The sequence below is a fragment of the Homo sapiens genome, chromosome 19 (assembly GCF_000001405.40).
Source record: "Homo sapiens chromosome 19, GRCh38.p14 Primary Assembly".
Taxonomy (NCBI): domain Eukaryota; kingdom Metazoa; phylum Chordata; class Mammalia; order Primates; family Hominidae; genus Homo; species Homo sapiens.
The window spans coordinates 41,467,959-41,490,658 of NC_000019.10; the positions used below are offsets into that span (position 1 = coordinate 41,467,959).

Genomic DNA, 22,700 nt, shown 5'->3' on the forward strand with positions numbered 1-22,700 from the left:
ATCACAGGGCGTGTACACCTCCTGCGATATTGGGAGTAATGTCATCCTTTCCCATCCTTGATATTAGAAAAATATCACAGGGGGGTATACACTCCCTACACAAATTGAAAGTAATATCCTCTCCACCGCTGGATATTAGGAGCAATATAACGGGGGAGGGCCTGTATACACCCTGCAATATTGGGAGCAATATTATTTTCTCCTCCACTGGATTTTAGGAATAATATCACAGTGTGGGTGTAAACCCCCTGCGATATTGGGAGTAACATCATCCTCTTTCCCCATGGATATTAAATACAATATCACAGGAGGGGTCTACACTGTCTTTGATATTGGGAGTAATATTATTCTTTCTCTTCCTTGATATAAGGAACAATATCAGAGGGGGATATACACCACCTGCAATATTGGGAGTAATATCATCCTTTCCCTTTCTGAATATTAGGAACAATATCACAAAAAAGGTGTACACTGCCTGCAATACTGAGAGTAATATAATCCTCTCCCTTCCTGGATATTAGAAACAATATCCCAAAAGGGATGTACACTCCCAGCGATATTGAAAGTCATATAATCGTTTCCTTCCCTGGATATTATGAAGAATATCACAGGGTGGGTGTCCACTTTCTGCGATATTAAGAGTAATATCATCCTCTCTCCTCCTGAATATTACGAACAATATCGCATGGAGGATGTACATCCCTTGCGATATTGGGAGTAATATCCTCCTCTCTCCCCCTTGATATTAGGAACAATATCACGGGGGAGCGGTGCACACACCCTGCGATATTGGGACTAATGTCATTTCCCCCCACCCGGATCATAGGAACAATATAACAGGGAAAGTGCACACCCCCTGCGATATTGAGGGTAATATCATCCTCTCCCGCCCTGGATATTAGGAACAATATCACAGGGCGTTGTACACCTCCTGCGATATTAGGAACAATATCATGCTGTCCCCTTCTGTATATTAGGAACAGTATCACAGGGGGTTGTACACCCCCTGCGATATTGGGAGAAATATTATCCCCTTCTCCCCTGTATATTAGGAACCATATCACAGGCTGTGTGTACACCCCTTGTCATATTCTGAGTTAGATCATCCTCTCCCCCTCTGGATATTAGGAACAATATCATAGGCGTGGGTACACCCCCTGCAATATTAAGAGTAATATCATCCTCTCCCTCCCTGAATGTTAGGAACAATATCACAGGGGGAAAGAACCCCCTGCGATATTTGGAGTAATATCATACTCTCCCCACCTGTATATTCAGAACAATAACACAGGGGATTTATACATCCCATGCAATATTGAAAGTAATATCATCCTCTCTCCATCTGGATATTAAAAAAGAATATCAGAGGGGGGAGTACACAATACATCCCCTTTGTATTGGGAGTAATTTTATCTTCTCTCTTTTTAAATATTAAAAACAATATCACCGGAAAGGTTTACTCCCTCTGTGATATTGAAAGCAAAATCATCCTCTACCCCCTGGATGTAAGAAATAATATTATGGGGAGGGTGTACATCTTCTAAGATATTGGGAGTCATATTACTTTCTCCCCTCCTGGATATTAGAAACAATATCACGGGGAGGGGGTACAGACCCAGCAATTTTGAAAATAGTATTATCCTAACTCTTCTTCCGCTGGATATTAGGAACAATATCGCAGGGGTTGTGTAAACTCCCTGTGATATTGAAAGTAATATCATCCTCTCCCTCCCTGGATATTAGGACCAATATCTCAGGAAGGTTGTACACCCTTTGCGATATTGGGAGCAATATTATCCTCTTCCACCCCGGATATTAGGAACAACATCACAGGGTGGGGTACACCCCCTGCGATATTAACAATAATATCATCCTCTCCTCCCCTGGATATTAGAAACAATATCACAGGGATGCGTACACCCCCTGTGATATTGAAAATAATATCATCATCTTTTCCTCTGGATGTTAGGAACAATATCACACAGGGGGTTTACACCGCCTGTGATATTGGGAGTAATATCATTCTCTCAATCCCTGGATATTAGGAACAACTTCACAGGGGGAGTGTACACCCCCTGCGATATCGGGAGTATTATACCCTTCTCCCCCTGTGAATATTAGAAACAATATCACAGGGAATCTGTACATCCCCTGTGATATTGACAATAATATCATCCTCTCTCCCCCAGATATTAGGAACAATATCATAGAACGGGTGTACACCCGCTGGAATATTGGGAGTAATATCATTTTCTCCACCCCCGGATATTAGAAACAATATCACAGAACCAGTGTATACGCCCTGCAATATTGACAGTAATATCATCCTCTCTTTTCCTGGATATTAGGAACAATATCACAAAGGGGTGTACATGCCCTGTGCTGCTGGAAATAGTATCATCCTGTGTCTTCCTGGATATTAGGAACAATATTAAAGGGGGAATGTACACCCCCTGTGATATTGGGATTAATATTTTTCTTTCCCCTCCTGGATATTAGAAACAATATCACAGAGAGGGTGTACCCCCCTGCAGTATTAGGAGTTATATCATCCTGTTTCGTTCTGGATATTAAAGACAATATCTCAAAGGGTGTGTACACCCCTTTCAGTTTTGGAAGGAATGTCACCCTCTTCTCTCCTGGATATTAGGAACAATGTCACAAAGAGGAAGTACACACCCTGCGACATTGGGAGTAATATCATCCTTTTTCCCCCTTGATATTAGAAACAATATCCCAGCGGGGTGTACAGCCCCTGTGATATTGGGAGTAATATCATCCTCTCTCCTGCTGCATATTGGCAACAATATTACAGAGTGTATGTACACCCCCTGTGATATTGGGAGTAATATTCTTTCTCCCCATGAATTTTAGGAACAACATCACAAGGCGGGTGTACATGCCCTGGGATATTGGGAGTACTATTATCCTCTCACACCCTGGATATTAGGAAGAATATTACAGCGGGGTGTACACCCCCTGTGATACTTGGAGACATATCCTCTCCCCTTCTGGATATTTTGAACAATATGATAGGTGGTGTACAGCCCCTGCCATATGGGGAGGAATGTCATTTTCTCCTTTCCCGGATATTACAAACAATATCACAGTGGGGTGTACACCCACTATGATATTGCAAGTAATATCATCCTCTCCCATTCTGAACATTCCACTTCCCCCTGGATATTACGAATAATATCCCGGGGCGGGGGTGTACACCCCCTGCGATATTAAGAGTAATATCAGCCTCTTTCTTCTGGATGTTACAAACAATATCACAGGGAGGTGTACACTCTCTGAGATATTAAGAGTAATAACATCCTTTTTTCCTCTGGATATTTGGGACAATGTCACAGGAGGTGTACACACTTTGCGATATTGGGACAGATATCATCCCCTCCCCCTCTTAATATTATGAACAGTATTCAAAAATGTACACCCCCTGCAATATTGGGAGTAACGTTATCATCTTTAATTCTGGATATTACGATCAATATCAGAAGGGGGTGTACACCTACTTTGATATTGGGAGTAATATCATCCTCTCCCCCCCGAATATTGTGAACAAGATCACAGTGTGGTGTATGTCCCCTGCAATACTGGGAGTAATATCTTTCTTTCCACTCATGAATATTAGAAACAATATTACAGAGGGAGTGTACACCCCCTGCGATTTTGGAAGTAATATCATCTTCTCCACTTCCGAATATTAGGAACAATATCAAAGGGGGGGCCTACACTCCCTGAGATGTTGGGAGTAATAGTATCCTCTCCCCTCCCTGGATATTACAAACAATATCACAGGGGAGTGTACACCTCCTGTGATATTGGGAGAAAATTTTCTCTCATTCCGGATATTATAAACAATAACACAGTAATGTGTACACCGCCTGCGATATTGAAAGTAATATTATCCTTTTTCCCTCTGAATATTGTGAACAATATCACAGGGAATTGTACACCCCCTGCGATATTGACAGTTATGTCATCCTCTTTCCCCTAGGATATTATGAACCATATCACAGGGTGGTGTATATCTTCTGCGAGATTCAGAATAATATCATCCTCCCTTCTTCTGGATATTATGAACAATATCACAGGGAGTGTACAGTTTTTGTGATATTGTTAGTAATATCATCCTCTCCCCTTCTTAATATCATGACAATATCACAGAAAGGTGTACACCACCTGCAATATTGGGAGTAATATCATCCTCTCTACCTCTGGATATTACGAACAATATCACGGGGGGGTGTACACTTCCTCTCCTCCCCTGGATATTATGAACAATATCATAGAGTGTTGTACACACCCTGCGATATTGGGAGTAATATAATCGTCTCTTCCCCTGAATATTACAAACAATAAAACAAGGGGGTGTACACCCCCTGTGATATTAGGAGTAATATCATCATTTCCCCATCTGGATATTACAAACAATGTCAGAGTAAGGTGTACACCTTCTGCGATATTGGCAATAATATCATATCTCCCCTTCTGGAAATTAGGAACAATATCATAGGGGGGTGTACACCCACTGTGATATTTGGAGTAATATCACTCTCTCCTTCCCTAAATATTACGAACAATGACACAGGAGGGTTTTCACCCCTTCTGATATTGAGAGTAATATTATCCTCTCTCCCCTGGATATTACAAAAAATATCACAAAGGGGTGTACACCCTTTGTGATATAGGGAGTAATATCCTCTTTTTCCCTGGATATCATGAACAGTATCACATAGGGGTGTAAACCTTCTGCGATATTGAGAGTAATATCCTCTCCTTGCCTGGATATTACAAACAATATCACAGGAGTTCTACACCCCCTGCCATATTGGGAGTAATATCGTCTTCTCCTTCCCTGGATATTATGAACAATATCACAGAGTGGTGTAAACCTTCTGCGATATTGGGAGTAATATCATCCTCTCTTTCCCTGGACATTACGAACAATATCACAGAGGGGTGAACACCCTCCCCAATAGGGCGAGCTATATCACCATCTACACCCCTGGATATTACGAACCATATCAAAGAAGGGAGTACACCCTCCGTGATATGGGGAGCAATATCACCCTCTCCCCTTTTGCATATTATGAACCATATCACAGGGGGCTGTACACCCTTCGCTTTATGAAGAACAATATCACCCTCTTCCCGTCTGGGTATTATGAACCATATCACAGGGGAGGGTGATCCTTCCGCGATATAAGGAGCAATATCACCCTTTCTTCCCCTGGATATTACGAACCATATCACGGGGGGTGTACACCCCCCCTGATATGAGGATAAATGTAAATTTCTCCCCCCATGAATATTATGAACCAATCCAGGGGGGTGTACCCCCACTGCGATATGGGGAGCAATATCACCCTCTAACCCCCTGGATATTACAAACCATATCACAGAGGGGTGTACACTTCTGGGTATTACGAACCATATCACAGGGGTTGTACACCCCTCGGGTTATGAAGAGCAATATTTTCCTCTTTCCTCCTGGATATTACGAACCATATCACAGGAGGATGTACGTCCCCCGCGATATGGGGAGAAATATCACCCTTTCCTTTCCTGGATATTACCAATCATATCACGGAGGGTTTACACCCCCTGCGATATGGGGAGCAATATCACTCTCTCCTCCCCTGGATATTGCGAATCATATAACAATAAGGTGTACACCTTCCTCGATGTAAGGAGCAGTATCACCCTCTCCACTCCTGGATATTACGAACCATATTACATGGGGGTGTACACTCTCCACAATATGGGCAGCAATATTACCTTTTTCTTCCCTGGATATAACGAACCATATCACAGAAGGGTGTACATCCCCTACAATATGGGGAGAAATATCACCCTCTCCCCCACCCGGATATTACAGACTATAACACAGGGGGGTGTACACACAGAATATTTACAATATCACAGAAGGGGTGTACACCCTTTGTGATATTAGGAGAAATATCATTGCCTCCCCTTCTGGATATTAGGAATGATATCACGGTGGGGGTGTTCATGCCCTGAAATACTAGGAGTAATACCTTTCTCTCCCCACCCCTGAATATTAGGAACAATATCAAATGGGGGTTTACACCTTCTGTGATTTTGAGACTAATAACCTCTCCCCCACTGGATATTAGGAAAGACATCACGAGGGAGGTGTACACCTTCTGCAATATAGAAAGTAATATCATCCTCTCCTCCTCTGAATATTAAGAACCATATCACAGGAGGAGTGCACACTCTCTGCGATATTGGGAGCAATATCATCCTCTTTCTTCCTGAATATTAGGAAGAATATCACAGGGAAAGTTATGCCTGTAATCCCAGGACTTTGGGAGGCCAAGGTGGGTGGATTATTTGAGGTCAGGAATTCAAGACCAGCCTGACCAACATGGTGAAACCCCAACTCTACTAAAAATACAAAAATTAGCCTGGTATGGTGACAGCTGCCTATAATCCCAGCTACTCCGAAGGCTGAGGCAGGAGAATCGTGCGAACCTGGGAGGCAAATGTTGCAGTGAGCCGAGATTGCGCCATTGCACTCCAGTCTGGGCGGCAGAGCAAGACTCCATCTCAAAAAAAAAAAAAAAAAAAAAAAGAATCACGGGGGGGTGTACACACCATTCGATATTGGGAGTAATATCATCCCCTTTCCCCCTAAATATTAGGAACAATATCACAGGAAGCGTGTACATCCCCTGCGATATTGGGAGTAATATCACACTTTCTTCTCCTAGGTATTACTAACAATATCACAGGGGGAGTGTACATCCCCTGCGATATTGAAAGTAATATCATCCTCTTTCTTCATGGATATTAGGAACAATATCATAAAGGTGGTGTACACCCCCTGTGATATTGGGAGTAATATCGTCCTCTCCCCCCATCGATATTAGGAACAATAACACAGGGTTGGTGTACACCCCTTGTGATATTTGGAGAAATATCATAATCTCCCCAACCTGGATATTAGGAACAATATCACAGAGGGGAGGACACCCCCTGGAATATTCACAGTAACATCATCGTTTCCTTTCCTGGATATTGGGAATAATATTATCCTCTCCACCCTGGATATTAGGAACAATATCACAAGAGGGGTGTACACCCTTTGAGATTTTGGGGGTAATATCATCCTCTCCCACCCTGGATATTAGGAACAATATCACAGGGAGGGTGTACATCCCTCTGAGATATTAAGAATAATATCGTCCTTTCCCCCATGGGTATTAGGAACAATATCACGACAGGTGTGTACACCTATTGTGATACTGGGAATAATACTATTTCACCCCCCCCCGATGTTGGGAACAATATCACGGGAGGGGGCTGTACAGCCCCTGTGATATTGGGAGTAATATCATCCTTTCATTTCTTGGATATTAGAAACAATATCACGGGGGGGGCACACTCCCTTCAATATTAAGGGCAATATCACTCTCTTTCTTCCTGAATGTTAGGAAAAATATTACAGGGGAATGTACACCTCTTGCAATATTTGGAGTAATATCTCCTCTCCTTTTCTGGATATTAGGAACTATATCAAGGGGGGGTGTACACCTTCTGCAATAGTGGTGGTAATGTCATCTTCTTTTTCCCTGGATATTAGCAACAATATAACAAGGAAGGTGTACACCCCCTGCGATGTTGAAAGTAATATTATCCTCTCCTTTTCTAGATATTATGAACAATATTACAGGGAAGGTGTACATCCCCTGCGACATTGGGAGTAATATCATCCTCTCCCATCCTGGATATTAGGAACAATATCACAGGTGGGGTGTAGACCTCATGCAATATTGGGAGTAATATCATCCTCTCCCTCTGGATATTATGAGGAATATCACAGAGGGTTTACCTACAGGGTGTTTAAGATATTGAGAGTAATATCATCCCCTCCCTAACTGGATCTTTTGAACAATATCACAGAAGGGTGTACACTTCCTGTGACATTGGGAGTAATATTATTCTTCCTCTTATGGATATTACAAATAATATCACAGGTTGGTGTACAGTCTTTGCGATATTGGGAGTAATATCATTCTCTCCCCCCCGGATATTATGAACAATATTACAGTGGGGTGTACACCCCCTGTGATGCTAAAAGTGATATCATCCTATCCCCTCCTGGGTGTTAGGAACATTGTCACAGAGGGGGCACAACCCCTGAGATATTAGGAGTAATATAATTCTCTCCCACACGGATATTACAAAAAATATCACAGAGGCTGTACACACAGGGTGTTTAGAATATTGAGAATAATGTCATCTTCTCCCTCCCTGGATATTACAATGAAGAGATAACATCCATTACTGCTGCTACAGTGGAGGTACAACTGATGGTGTTTGCATTAGTTTCCTGCCATCTGCCATCATCCTTCTGGATTTTGAAGATACCAGACTGGTGAATTCCGTGAAAGAGATGAGTGGACCAACACTCGTCTCGCAGAAGTTGGCAAGGAATACATCAATTTCCTGACCCTTGCCCTTAGGCCATTACTCTAACAGGGGTCATGGTGATGTTTCCAACCATGGGTTTTATGCCAGCAAGACCTTCATGGCCAACAGCTTCTGAAAGATAACAATACTCACCTTTGTTCAGTGCTCAGTTACCTAAGCAAATGATTGTAGGTCTTTTCCAAGGGAAGCTGGAGAATCCCAAAGTTGTATACTTCCCTTGGTTTTGCATGAACCTGCCTCATGAGAACCCAGTCTCTTTTTGAATTAGACCTTCTTATGTGAGAACTGTCTCAGGTTTTAACTGGATGAAGGATGATGACTTTATATGAGGGCTGCTGACATCTGTTTCTGTTCCTCTTGATGATTTCTATTTCCTGTTACTGAAGGGACTCACTTGTCTGCCATTTATATCTGTTGTCCCTAATGAAACATACTCTAAGAGGTAAGTGCTAGATATTGCAAAGCAGTCCTCCCCTGATGCACTCTGGCACTGGTGCCAGCTCCTTATGCCCACCTTGCATTGATGGCAAAGTGCTGGCCTCTGCCATTCCCACATCTTCTCACCACTTTGTTGCTATGAATGGAGCCCATCTCTGTAACAGTGTGGCCTGCTTTAATGTCTGACCCATGAAGAATGTCCAGCACTTGATCTTAGCCATGCTGGTGTCCCTCTCACTGGGGCAGTGGTCATGGGCAGCCTTTTTTTTTTTTTTTTTTTTTTTTGAGACGATGTTTTGGTATTGTTGCCCATGCTGGAGTGTAGCAGTGCGACTGGGGCTCACCGCCACCTCCGCCTCCCAGGTTCAAGCAATTCTCATGCCTCAGCCTCTGGAGTAGCTGTGATTACAGGCGTCTGGCACAACACCCATCTAATTTTTTGTGTTTTTAGTAGAGGCAGGGTTTCACCATGTTGGCGAGGCTGGTCTCAAACTCCTGACCTCAGGGGATTCACCCACCTTGGCTTCCCAAAGTGCTGGGATTACAGGCATGAGCCACCCTGCCTGGCCATCATGGGCAGTCTTAAGGATGATAGTCAGCTCCTGGTTCTTCTTCTATAGTAGACCCAGTCCAAGATGCCCACTGATCGAGTTTGGATCTGTGTCCCCACCCACATCTCATGTGTAATTGTAATCCCCAATGGTGGAGGTGGTCCTGGTTGGGCCGGTGAGAATTGAGTGGATCATATGGGTGGATATTTCATGAATAATTTAGCACCATCCTCTAGGTGCTGTCTGGTGATAGAGTTCTAAAAAGATCTGATTGTTCAAAAGTGTGCAGCACCTCTCCTACCACTAGCTCCAGCTCTGGCCATGGAGGATGAGCCTGATTCCCTTGTGCTTTTTGCCATGACTCTAAGTTTTCTGACGCCTCCCCAGAAGTTGAGCTGATGGCCAGCATCATCCTTTTTGTACAGCCTGTGGAACCATGAGCCAATTAAACCTGAGTTTTTATAATTAATTACCCAGTCTCAGGTAATTCTTTATAGTAATGCATGAAAAGACTAATACATGTACTTCTGAACCATGTTATTCTTTACCCCAAAGCTATACATCCTTGCAATTCTGTGCTGATCCTAACCACCTGCAGTGAGCCCACACTCCTCAGGTTCTGGGCAAATTTTTCCACCAGCCTAACCTCACATCCAATGCTAGCCCCAGTTTTGCGATCTCAGGCCACTCACACTAATCTAAAACTTGCTGCAAATTCAAAAGGTCCCATCACTCTCAGGATGACTATTCAGATAGCAACACTCATGGAACTAAAAAAAATCACTGGGGTGGGGATCACATCCCGGCATTTATAGAGTGACTACATCCCAGACATGTGAAGAAAACTGAGGAGGGAACCCCAAGGGCTTGAAAGACCTTGCCGAGTGTGGAGCCCTGAAGTGCACATACCACTCGGTTGTCCCCCAGGGGCCTGGGAACCTTGCCAAGTGCGGGGTCTCTAGAGCAGAATCCACACCGCTGGGGAGGTGGATTTCAGGCCAGAAACCTTCAGGGACCTGGAGTCCCAACACATGCTAAAAACAGGGGTAGGGGCACAGATATGAAAGATTTTGGAGTATTTGGAGCCCAGAAGAGAAAACTGAAGGTGGCAGCGTGGAGCGCTCAGAAGATGGCGGAGACCATGGAGCCCAAAAAATCCAGAAAAAGAGGCGGGGACAGGGGATGGACCTCAGAAGCATTCAGAACGCACAGGGCCCCCTCCAAGGTCGCTTTCACACTGCCAAGGCTTCCTCTGCAGCTGCAGAGCTGCACTTTTCCTCTGTCCCAACAAAAATATGTCCCTTGAAGGTCTCATCTCCCATGGACTGGATCTGGATCTGGGCCTCATTTATCCAGGGGCCTCAGTCCTCAAGGAGGCCATTGTCACTCTGCTTCCCGATAAAGTCCTCTTAAGTTAGTAAATGCCCCTCAAGGGACCCATGGTTTGTCCTTATTCCTCCCTGAGTCTTCTCCTTCTGAGGGAGGAAGTTTTCAAACACCCCCAGGATTTACTGCCAGAATTTCACCCTCTGAAACCTCCTCCTTCCCTAGATCCAGTCCAGCTCCTCATCCTCAGCCCCCCAGACCCCATGGAGGTGTCCCATGCAATGGGTTTTTTCTAGATTGACAGCCTCCCCTCCTCAGCGTACAACTCAGAGACTCACCCTGTTCTGAGCAGCGAGCCACCGCATAAGCAGACATGAGACCTCACTCCAGCCAAATAACACTTTATTTTTGTAGTTTCAATGCTTTTCTTCCCCGAGGAAAGGGAGGAGCTCAGGAGAACAGTGTCATCAAAATTTCCTGGTGGTTGTTTAATCACAGCAGCAGAGTAGGTCAGGAAACTCTTCCAGATTACCCTCTTCCTCCTGAAATTAAAGGAAACATGCACGACTCATGAACTGATAAGGTTTCCCAACAATTGTGCGAATATCCTGCTGGATTTATGAGCTGAAAGTAAACCTGAATGACTTGTGCTGCTTGTCCAGGCATTATCTTCTTCAGGAAATATGAGATGTTGTTTGGAAGCATTTCAGAAGCAAGGGAAGCTGCTTTGTTGAATACATAGATGAGCATCTTCTTGATTAGAAACTTCAACCCAGCGATTAAGGGTCTCGTTACTAGTTTTGAGACATATGTCATTAATTGGTCGGCAAACCATTTTTTTATCACATCCATCAGAAAATCGACCACTTTCTCCACTAGCATTTCCATGGCCATGTTCATTATAAGTGAAGTAAATGAGCTCACAAAAAGTGTAATGAGTGTTCTGTCGGTTTCACGTAAAGATATATAATGGTATCGTCCCTGGAGAGCGTGGCCATTTTATGGGAGGTGACGTGGAGGGGGCGGGCCAAGATGGCCAATTAGAAGAGGCTGCCTTCCACTGAATTAAAGTCTCAGTGAATTTCACGATAAGCACGTGAACTGAAATATTCAGGTTCTCACATTGGGACTGACTAGGCAAACAACTTGACCCAGGAGAACAAAGAAAACAGGGGTGGGTGATGAACCACGCTATATTGGAACAGAGCCAAAGGAACCTTCTTGCACAGCCAAGAGAAGCCATGAGTGTGTGACCCCGCCCCAGAAACCATTTTTCTCCCTTGGATCTTTGCAACCAAGAAATCAGGAGATCCTCCCATGGGCTGAGTCACGGCGGCCTTGGGCCTAGTACACAGGGCTGTGTGGAGTGTTGGCAGAGCAGCTGCTCAGACACAGACCGAGACCCAGGAGGTTTACACAATCTAGCCTTGAGAAACCAGGAAAGGTGGGAGTTCCGTTGGTACATTCCCCCAGTAAGGGGGCTGAATTCAGGTGTTATACGAGTTGTTAAGAAATTATTTTGGGCAGACAGGGAGGAAAAGGGGTCCTTGGGAAGTTTTGTTTCTTCTTAAAGCAGCTCCAGAAATGAGTCTTGTCTAGCAGGAAAGCCCCGGCTTTTAGAGTTCTCCGGTAACCTTGATCTGCAGATGCCGGCCATTAGAAACTGGGTCCACCCAAACATAGCGATTCCCGCCCTCTTCTGGCCCTTGTCCCCACCTGTGCCTGGCGATATGGCCACCCCCATATATCCCCATGAGTGTAGGAAATCAGGGTGTCCGGCACGTGCATATTCAAAGGCTAGGTGGGAGGGCCAGTTTTTCCGTGGGCCACATAAATGACATGCCTGGTCGAACCAATCGCCTGAACCCTATGCAAATCAGACACCACCCCCTCCAGTTTCTTCATATAACTCATTGGTATCCACAGCACTCCGGGTTTCCTCTTTTGGCTTTGGAGCCCCCCTCCCTCTGTCTCAGTATGGGGAGCTCTTCCTTCGTTCTTGCCTATTAAACTGCACGCCATAAAACCACTGTACATGTGTTTGTGTCATTTTCTCCAATTCTGTGTGAGACATGAGCCCTGGTGTTCCTCCACTCATCACAGCCATATCACAGGGAGCCAGACAGCCTCATCCTGTGGTCCCCATCATCACAGCACTTCTCAAGTCCCACGGGCTTGGAATACCAGCCAAGCAGTGGCAAGATAGCAAGCCAAGTGCCTGAGACTACCGAGTTCTGGGTGGTTGGGGCGGCCACCGTCTCTGTTTCCGTAGACTCAGACAATCTAGCCTTCGGGCTCCAGGGAGGGCAGCTGGTCTGGAGCAGGAGGGGTCCCCCACAAGGCAGCACTGCTGCTGTGCCTGATAGTGGCCAGACTGTTTCTTTAAATTTGACCTTGATTCATCCCTCCTCACTGGGAAGGTCCTCCCTGTTGGAATTTCAGGAACTCCAGCCAGGGTTATAGGGTTGGTGGGAAGCCTGATCTCTTTCTGGGTTGGAGGTCCTCCGGGGATGGGCGGCTGCCATCTTTGTAATTGTGGACTCAACCTTTTCAGCTGAAGCAAATGAACAAAGCTGGGAGCATCACATTTCCTAACTCTAAAATATATTACACAGCCATAGTCACCAATACAGCATGGTACAGGTATAAATGTGGACACACAGATTGATGTAACAGACGAGAGAATCCAAAATGAAAGCCACACATTCATAGGCAACTGATCTTTGACAAAGCTGACAAGAATATACACTAGGGAAAGCACACCCTTTTCAATAATTGGTACTGGGACAGTTGCATTGTCATATGCGGAAGAATAAATCTGAACTCCTATTTCTTACCATGTTTACAAAAATCAATTTAAAGTGAATTATAGACTGAAATGTATGTACTGAAATGGTCAAAATATCAGAAGAAACTTAGGGAAAACTCTTCTGGTCATTGTCCAGTAAAGAGTTCACGAGTAAGACTTCAAAAGTACAGGCAACAAAACCAAAAAGAGACCAATGTAAATTTAAACCAAACTAAAAATTTTAATTAAATTAAAAAGCCATACACCATTTTTCTATCTCATCCCTAAGAAAATGGACCACGTCATCCACTAGCATTTCCATGGCACCTTCATTATAGGCGAAGTAAGTGAGCCCATGATAAGTGTAATGAGCCTTCTGTTTATTTCAGGCGAAGTTAAGTAATGGATATTCCTGGAGTGGTGTGGATTTTACAGAAAGTGACGTGAAGTGGGCAGGCCAAGATGCCCAATGAGAAGCAGCTGTCTTCCCCTGAATGAAAAGCACGGTGAATTCAGCACCTTGAACTGAAGTATCCAGGTTCCTACATTGGGACTGATTAGGCAAATGACTTGACCCAGGAGAAGAAACAAAGGGGGTGGGTGATGGTGCACCCAGTATCAGCACAGAGCCAAAGAAACCTTCACCTACAGCCAAGAGAAGCAGTAGTGAATGCACAACCCCTACCCACAAACCATGTTTCTCCCATGCATCTTTGCCACGCATGGATCAGAAGATCCTCCCATTAGCTCATGCCATAAGGGTCTTGGGTCAGATACACAGAGCCGTGTCGAATGTTGCCAGAGCACTCGCTCAGACACTCACAGAGACTCAGGAGTTTTATATACTTGGAAAGCTGGGCAAGGCGGGAGTTCCATCTGTACATTCCCTTAGAAAAGGGGCTGAATCCAGGGAGCCAAGCAGCCTCATTCCGTGGGCCCCACTTCCACAGCACCTCTCAAGTTAAGACCCACTGGCTTGGAATAGCAGCCAACCAGTGGCAATCGGCTGGAGACTGCCTGAGACTACAGTTTTCTGGGGAGGTGAGGGCGGCCTCCATTTCTGTGTTTCCATGGACTCAGACATTCTAGCCTGCAGGCTCCAGGGAATCCAGGTGGTCTGGTCCCCCACAAGGCAGCACAGCTGCTGTGCCTGATTGTGGCCAGACAGATTCCTTAAGTAGGACCTTCATTCATCCCCCCTCACTGGGTAGGGCCTCCCTTTGGGAATTTCAGGAGTTCCAGCCATGGTTATATGGTCAGTGGGAGCCATGATCTTTTTCCGGGAAGGAGCCCTGCGAGGAGGGGCAGCTTCATCTCTGCAGCTGTTGACTCAGCCTTTCTGAAGCAAATAAACAAAGCTGGGAGCATCACATTTCTTGACTTCAAATTATATTACAAAGCCATCATCACCAATACAGCATGGTAGTAGTATACAGATAGACACACAGATTGATGTAACAGACTAGAGAGCCCAGAAAGAAAGCCACACATTTATAGCCAACTGATCTTTGACAAAGCTGATAAGAATATACGTTGAGGAAAGCACACCCTTTTCAATAATTGGTGCTGGAACAATTGAATTGTCATTTGCAGAAGAATAAACCTGGACTCCTATTTCTCACTATTTCTACAAAAATCAATTGAAGATGAATTATAGACTTAAATATATGTACTGAAATAATAAAAATGTGAGAAGAAACCTAGAGAAAACTCTTCTGGTTATTGTCTAGTAAAGAGTTCAAGAGTATGACTTCAAAAGTACAGGCAACAAAACCAAAAATCGACCAGTGCAAATTTAAACCAAACTGAAAATTTTAATTATATAAATTCAAAAGCTTTACTGAAACAAAAAGCTGCTGCACAGCCAAAGAAATAATCCTCTCAACAGAGTGAGCAGACAAACTGCAGAACGGAAGAAATTATTTGTAAACTTTTCCTTTGACAAAAGACTAATACCGAGAGTAAACAAAGATCTCAACTACAACAGAAAACTCCAAAGAATCCCATTAAAAAGTCGGCAAAGGACATAAAGAGACTTTTTTATTTTTTATCTTATTTATTTATTCATTTGTTTTTATGAGACAGGTCTTTCTCTATTACCCATGCTGTAGTGCAGTGCCATGATCTTGGCTCACTGCGACCTGTGCCTACCGGGTTCAAGCAATTCCTGTGCCTTAACCTCCTGAGTAACTTGCACCACAGGCACGAGTCACAGCCCGTGGCTGATTTTTTGTATTTTTAGTAAAGATGGGGTTTTGCCTTGTTGGCCAGGTTGATTTCTGCCTCTTTGCCTCAAGTGATCCATTGGCCTCAGCCTCCCGAAGTTCTGGGGTTACAGGCATGCTCAACCGCACCTGGACAGGAGTCAGTTTTTAAAAGAGCACATATAAATGGCCAAAAGGTATTTCAAAGAAATTCTCCACACCATGAATCGTCAGAGAAATGGTCATTAAAACCACATTGAGGTTGGGTGCGCTGCCTCATGACTGTAATTCCAACACTTTGGGAGGCTGAGGCAGGTGTATGATGAGCTCAAGAGACTGTGATCATCCTGGCCAACATGGTGAAACCCTGTCTTTACTAAAAATACAAAAAATGAGCCAGGCCTGTTGGCACGCGCCTGTAGTCCCAGCTACTCGGGAGGCTGAGGCAGGAGAATTGCTTGAACCCGGGAGGTGGAGGTTGCAGCAAGCCACGATCACACCACTGCACTCCAGTCTGGCAACAGAGTGAGACCCCGTCTCAAAAATATCAACAACCACCACAATGAGATATCTTACTCCAGTCAGAATGGGTATTATGAAAAAGACAAAAACATAACAAATGTTAGTGAGAATGTGGAGAAAAGGGGAAATCTTATGCATTGTTGTTGGGAATGTAAATTAGCGCAGATTTTATGGCAAACACTATGGAGATTTCTGAAAGAACAAAAAATATAACAACTACTCAGTCCTGCAGTTGCAGTACTGGGTACCTACTCAAAGGAATAGATCAAAATGCACACAAATATTTGCTGCAGCATTATTTACAGTAGCAAAGACATGGAATCACCCTACATGTCAATCAACAGAAGAATAAATAAAGAAAATGTGGTATGTATACATACAGGAATACTATTCAGTTATAAAACAGTGAAAATCATGTCTTTTGCAGCAACCTGGAAGGAACTGGAGGTCATTATTTTGGGTAAAACAAGCCAGGCAGAGAATCCCAAATATCACATTTTTCAGGACCAGCAGGGTATTTCACACCTGTAATTCCCATGCTTTTCCAAAACAGTATAAGAGAATTGCTTGATGACTGGGTGACACAGTGAGACCCTATCTCTGCAAAAACAATATATGTGTATATATATATATATATGGAGAGAGAGAAATCAGCTGGGCATGGAAGCTGGGACTACAGGTGCGTGCCACCACACCCGGGTAATTTTTTTGTGTGTTTTTAGTAGAGATTGGGTATCAACAGGTTGCTCTGAGTGGTCGTGAACTCCTGAGCTCAGGCAATCTGCCCTCCTTGGCCTCCCAAAGTGCTGGGATTACAGGTGTAAGCCACCACTCACAGTCTTCCTTCCTTCCTCCCTTCAGGTGATTGCTCAGATGCTGCTTATTCTTGGAGGATATCCCTGACCAACTTATAGAATTAGCGGGAACCTTATGGTTGACACATTTCCTATGTTCCTCACCTGCTTTCTTTTCTTGTGGAGGACTTACAGCTGTCTGAAATACAGCATGTTTCTTTCTTGATTGCCTTTCTCTCCTCCCGAGAATATCAGTTGCACGAGGCCAGTGACTGTTTCTCTCTTTTCTGAGTCTCCTGCAACCACCGGTAGCATACACATAGTGTATCCTTAATATCTCCTTGTTCAAAAGGTGAATTTCTTGAAGCTGGGGGGCAGAGGTTGCAGTGAGCTGAGATTGTGCCACTTGATTCCAGCCTGGGCGTAAGAGCAAAACTTGGTTTCTGGCTGGGGGGAAAAAGGATAAATTTCTCTATTCATGAAAAATTGGACATTGGGAATCAAGTATAGCCACCTTAGTTTTTCAGTGATAATTCCAGCCCTGTCAACTTGTAGGAATCATGTACGATGGTTCCCTTTGCTGGAGGCTATTGCTGTGTAATAAAATATCCCTAATTAGTAGGAAAGAATAACCATCATTGATTTGTGCTCACAAATGCTGTGAACAAGAGGTTCTGATGAGGAGAGTGGAGATGACTTCTCTGTGTGATCTCAGCTCACTGCAACATTTGTCTCCCAGGTTCAAGCTTCTCCTGCCTCAGCCTCCCAAGTAAATTGGATTACAGGCACATGCCAGCATGCTTGGCTAATTTTTGTATTTTTAGTAGAGACAGGGTTTCATCATGTTGACCAGGCCGGTCTCAAACTCCTGACCCCAGGAGATCAGCTCGCCTCAGTCTCTCAAAGTGCAGGAAATACAGATGTACACCACTACACCCACTCTTAAGTTTTTACTTATGAATAATAACACTGACAGTGTTCTAAATTCTCTAAATGGTCAAATGGATAAAGAAATAAGACCCAACTTATGGTGCCTTAAAGAAATCAACTTCATCTATAGAGACACCGAAAGGGAAATGAAAACAGGGAAATGGAAAAGGATATTTCATGAAGCTGGAAACCAAAAAAGTGCCAGAGTAGCTATTCTCATATTAGATAAAATAGACTAAAATCACAGACTGTAACAACAAAAGACAAGGAGGGTCACTAGTTAATGATAAAGAGGTAAATCGGCAAGAGGATACCACAATGATTAATACCTAGGTACGTGACACCAGTTTTTTCAAATGTAAAAAGCAAACATAGATTGCCATTCCAAGATGGCCGAATAGGAGCAACTCCGGTCTGCAGCTCCCAGCCTGATCCACACAGAAGATGGGTGATTTCTGCATTTCCAACTGAGGTACCTTGTTCATCTCATTGGGCTGGTTGGACAGTGGATGCAGCCCATGGAGGGCTAGCTGAAGCAGGGTGGGGCATTGCGTCACCGGGAAGCACAAGGGGTTAGGGGATTTACCTTTCCTAGATGAGGGAACCCGTGACAGACTGTACTGGGAAAATTGGGACACTCCCACCTTAATACTGTGCTTTTCCAATGGTCTTAGCAAATGGCACACCAGGAGATTATATCCTGTGCCTGGCTCAGTGGGTCCCACGCCCATGGAGCCTCGCTCACTGCTAGCACAGCAGTCTGAGATGGAACTGCAAGGCGGCAGACTGGGTGGGGGAGGGGTGTTCACCATTTCTGAGGCTTCAGTAGGTAAACAAAGTGGTCTGGAAGCTCGAACTGGGAGGAGCCCACCGCAGCTCAATGAGGCCTGCCTGCCTCTGTAGACTCCATCTGTAGGGGCAGGGCATAGCTGAATAAAAGGCAGCAGAAATTTCTGCAGACTTAAACATCCCCATCTGACAGCACTGAAGAGAGCAGTGGCTCTCCTAGCATAGTGTTTGAGCTCTGTGAATGGACAGGCTGCCTTCTCAAGTGGGTCCCTAACCCCCATCTAGCCTAACTGGGAGACACCTCCCAGTAGGGGCCAACTGACACCTCATACAGCCAGGCACCCCTTTGAGACGAAGCTTCCAGAGGAAGGATCAGGCAGCAATATTTGCTGTTGTGCAATATTTGCTATTCTGCAGCCTCCGCTGGTGATACCCAGGCAAACAGGGTCTGGAGTGGACCTCCGGCAAACTCCAACAGACCTGCAGCTGAGGAACCTGACTGTTCGAAGGAAAACTAACAAACAGAAAGGAACAGCATCAACATCAACAAAAAGGACATCCACACCAAAACCCCATCTCTAGGTCACCATTATCAAAGACCAAAGGTAGATAAAACCACAAAGATGGGGAGAAACCAGAGCAGAAAAGCTGAAAATTCTATAAACCAGAGCACCTCTTCTCCTCCAAAGGATCGCAGCTCCTCACCAGCAATGGAACAAAGCTGGATGGAGAATGACTTTGACAAGTTGACAGAAGCAGGCTTCAGAAGGTCAGTAATAACAAACATCTCTGAGCTAAAGGGGATGTTCAAACCCATCACAAGGAAGCTAAAAACCTTGAAAAAAGATTAGACGAATGGCTAAGTAGAGAAAACAATGTACAGAAGACCTTAAATGACCTGATAGAGCTGAAAACCATGGCATGAGAACTACATGATGCATGCAATACCTTCAGTAGCCGATTTGATGAAGTGGAAGAAAGTATATAAGTGAATGAAGATCAAATTAATGAAATGAAGTGAGAAGAGAAGTTTAGAGGAAAGAGAGTAAAAAGAAACAAACAAAGCCTCCAAGAAATATGGAACTATGTGAAAAGATTAAATCTACGTTTGATTAGTGTACCTGAAAGTGATGGGGAGAATGGAACCAAGCTGGAAAACACTCTTCAGGATATTACCCAGGAGAACTTCTGCAACCTAGCAAGGCAGGCCAACATTCAAATTCAGGAAATACAGAGAATGCCACAAAGATACTCCTCAAGAAGAGCAACTCCAAGACACATAATTGTCAGATTCACCAAAGTTGAAATGAAGGAAAAAATGTTAAGGGCAGCCAGAGAGAAAGGTCGGGTTACCCACAAAGGGAAGCCCATCAGACTAACGGCTGATCTCTTGGCAGAAACTCTAGAAGCCAGAAGACAGTGGGGGCCAATATTCAACATTCTTAAAGAAAAGAATTTTCAACCCAGAATTTCATATCCAGCCAAACTAAGCTTCATAAGTGAAGGAGAAATAAAATCCTTTACAGACAAGCAAATGCTGAGGGATTTTGTCACCACCAGACCTGCCCTAAAAGAGCTCCTGAAGGAAGCGCTAAACATGGAAAGGAACAGTCAGTACCAGCCACTGCAAAAACATGCCAAATTGTAAAGACCATCAAGGCTAGGAAGAAACCGCATCAACCAATGAGCAAAATAACCAGCTAACATCATAACGACAGGATCAAATTCACACATAACAATATTAACCTTAAATGTAAATGGGCTAAATGCTCCAATTAAAAGACACAGACTGGCAAATTGGATAAAGAGTCAAGACCCATCAGTGTGCTGTATTCAGGAAACCCATCTCACGTGCAGAGACACACATAAGCTCAAAATAAAGGGATGGAGGAAGATCTACCAAGAAAATGGAAAACAAAAAAAGGCAGGTGTTGCAATCCTAGTCTCTGATAAAACAGGCTTTAAACCAACAAATATCGTAAGAGACAAAAAAGGCCATTACATAATGGTAAAGGGATCAATTCAACAAGAAGAGCTAACTATCCTAAATATATATGCACCCAATACAGGAGCACCCAGATTCATAAAGCAAGTCCTGAGTGACCTACAAAGAGACTTAGACTCCCACACAATAATAATGGGAGACTTTAACACCCCACTGTCAACATTAGACAGATCAATGAGACAGAAAGTTAACAAGGATACCCAGGATTTGAACTCAGCTCTGCACCAAGCGGACCTAATAGACATCTACAGAACTCTCCACCCCAAATCAACAGAATATACATTTTTTTCAGCATCACACCACACCTATTCCAAAATTGACCACATACTTGGAAGTAAAGCTCTCCTCAGCAAATGTAAAAGAACAGAAATTATAACAAACTGTCTCTCAGACCACAGTGCAATCAAACTAGAACTCAGGATTAAGAAACTCACTCAAAACCGCTCAACTACATGGAAACTGAACAACCTGCTCCTGAATGACTACTGGGTACATAACAAAATGAAGGCAGAAATAAAGATGTTCTTTGAAACCAACGAGAAAAAAGACACAACATACCACAATCTCTGGGACACATTCAAAGCAGTGTGTAGAGGGAAATTTATAACACTAAATGCCCACAAGAGAAAGCAGGAAAGATCCAAAATTGACACCCTAACATCACAATTAAAAGAACTAGAAAAGCAAGAGCAAACACATTCAAAAGCTAGCAGAAGGCAAGAAATAACTAAAATCAGAGCAGAACTGAAGGAAATAGAGACACAAAAAACCCTTCAAAAAATTAATGAATCCAGGAGCTGGTTTTTTAAAAGGATCAACAAAATTGATAGACCGGTAGCAAGACTAATAAAGAAAAAAAGAGAGAAGAATCAAATAGATGCAATAAAAAATGATAAAGGTGATATCACCACTGATCCCACAGAAATACAAACTACCATCAGAGAATACTACAAACACCTCTACGCAAATAAACTAGAAAATCTAGAAGAAATGGATAAATTCCTGGACACATACACCTTCCCAAGACTAAACCAGGAAGAAGTTGAATCTCTGAATAGAGCAATAACAGGATCTGAAATTGTGGCAATAATCAATAGCTTACCAACCAAAAACAGTCCAGGACCAGATGGATTCACAGCCCAATTCTACCAGAGGTACAAGGAGGAACTGGTACCATTCCTCCTGAAACTATTCCAATCAATAGAAAAAGAGGGAATCCTCCCTAACTCATTTTATGAGGCCAGCATCATCCTGATACCAAAGCCAGGCAGAGACACAACCAAAAAAGAGAATTTTAGACCAATATCCTTGATGAACATTGATGCAAAAGTCCTCAGTAAAATACTGGCAAACCGAATCCAGCAGCACATCAAAAAGCTTATCCACCATGATCAAGTGGGCTTCATCCCTGGGATGCAAGGCTGGTTCAATATATGCAAATCAATAAATGTAATCCAGCATATAAACAGACCCAAAGACAAAAACCACATGATTATCTCAATAGATGCAGAAAAGGCCTTTGACAAAATTCAACAACCCTTCATGCTGAAAACTCTCAATAATTAGGTATTGATGGGACATATCTCAAAATAATAAGAGCTATCTATGACAAACCCACAGCCAATATCATACTGAATGGGCAAAAACTGGAAGCATTCCCTTTGAAAACTGGCACAAGACAGGGATGCCCTCTCTCACCACTCCTATTCAACATAGTGTTGGAAGTTCTGGCCAGGGCAATTAGGCAGGAGAAGGAAATAAAGGGTATTCAATTAGGAAAAGAGGAAGTCAAATTGTCCCTGTTTGCAGACGACATGATTGTATATCTAGAAAACCCATTGTCTCAGCCCAAAATCTCCTTAAGCTGATAAGCAACTTCAGCAA

The 22,700-nt window shown here is 43.7% G+C and overlaps 1 long non-coding RNA gene across 2 annotated transcripts in view; it reads right to left on the reverse strand.

Annotated features, from left to right (window-relative positions):
- The window catches only part of PCAT19 (prostate cancer associated transcript 19), a 46,481-nt gene that overhangs the window by 13,790 nt on the left and 9,991 nt on the right, over positions 1-22,700 (reverse strand). For both annotated transcript variants that reach the window (NR_136334.1, NR_040109.2), the window contains one exon: positions 11,123-11,326. This is a non-coding gene — a long non-coding RNA (prostate cancer associated transcript 19). The remainder of the gene's footprint in view (positions 1-11,122; positions 11,327-22,700) is intronic.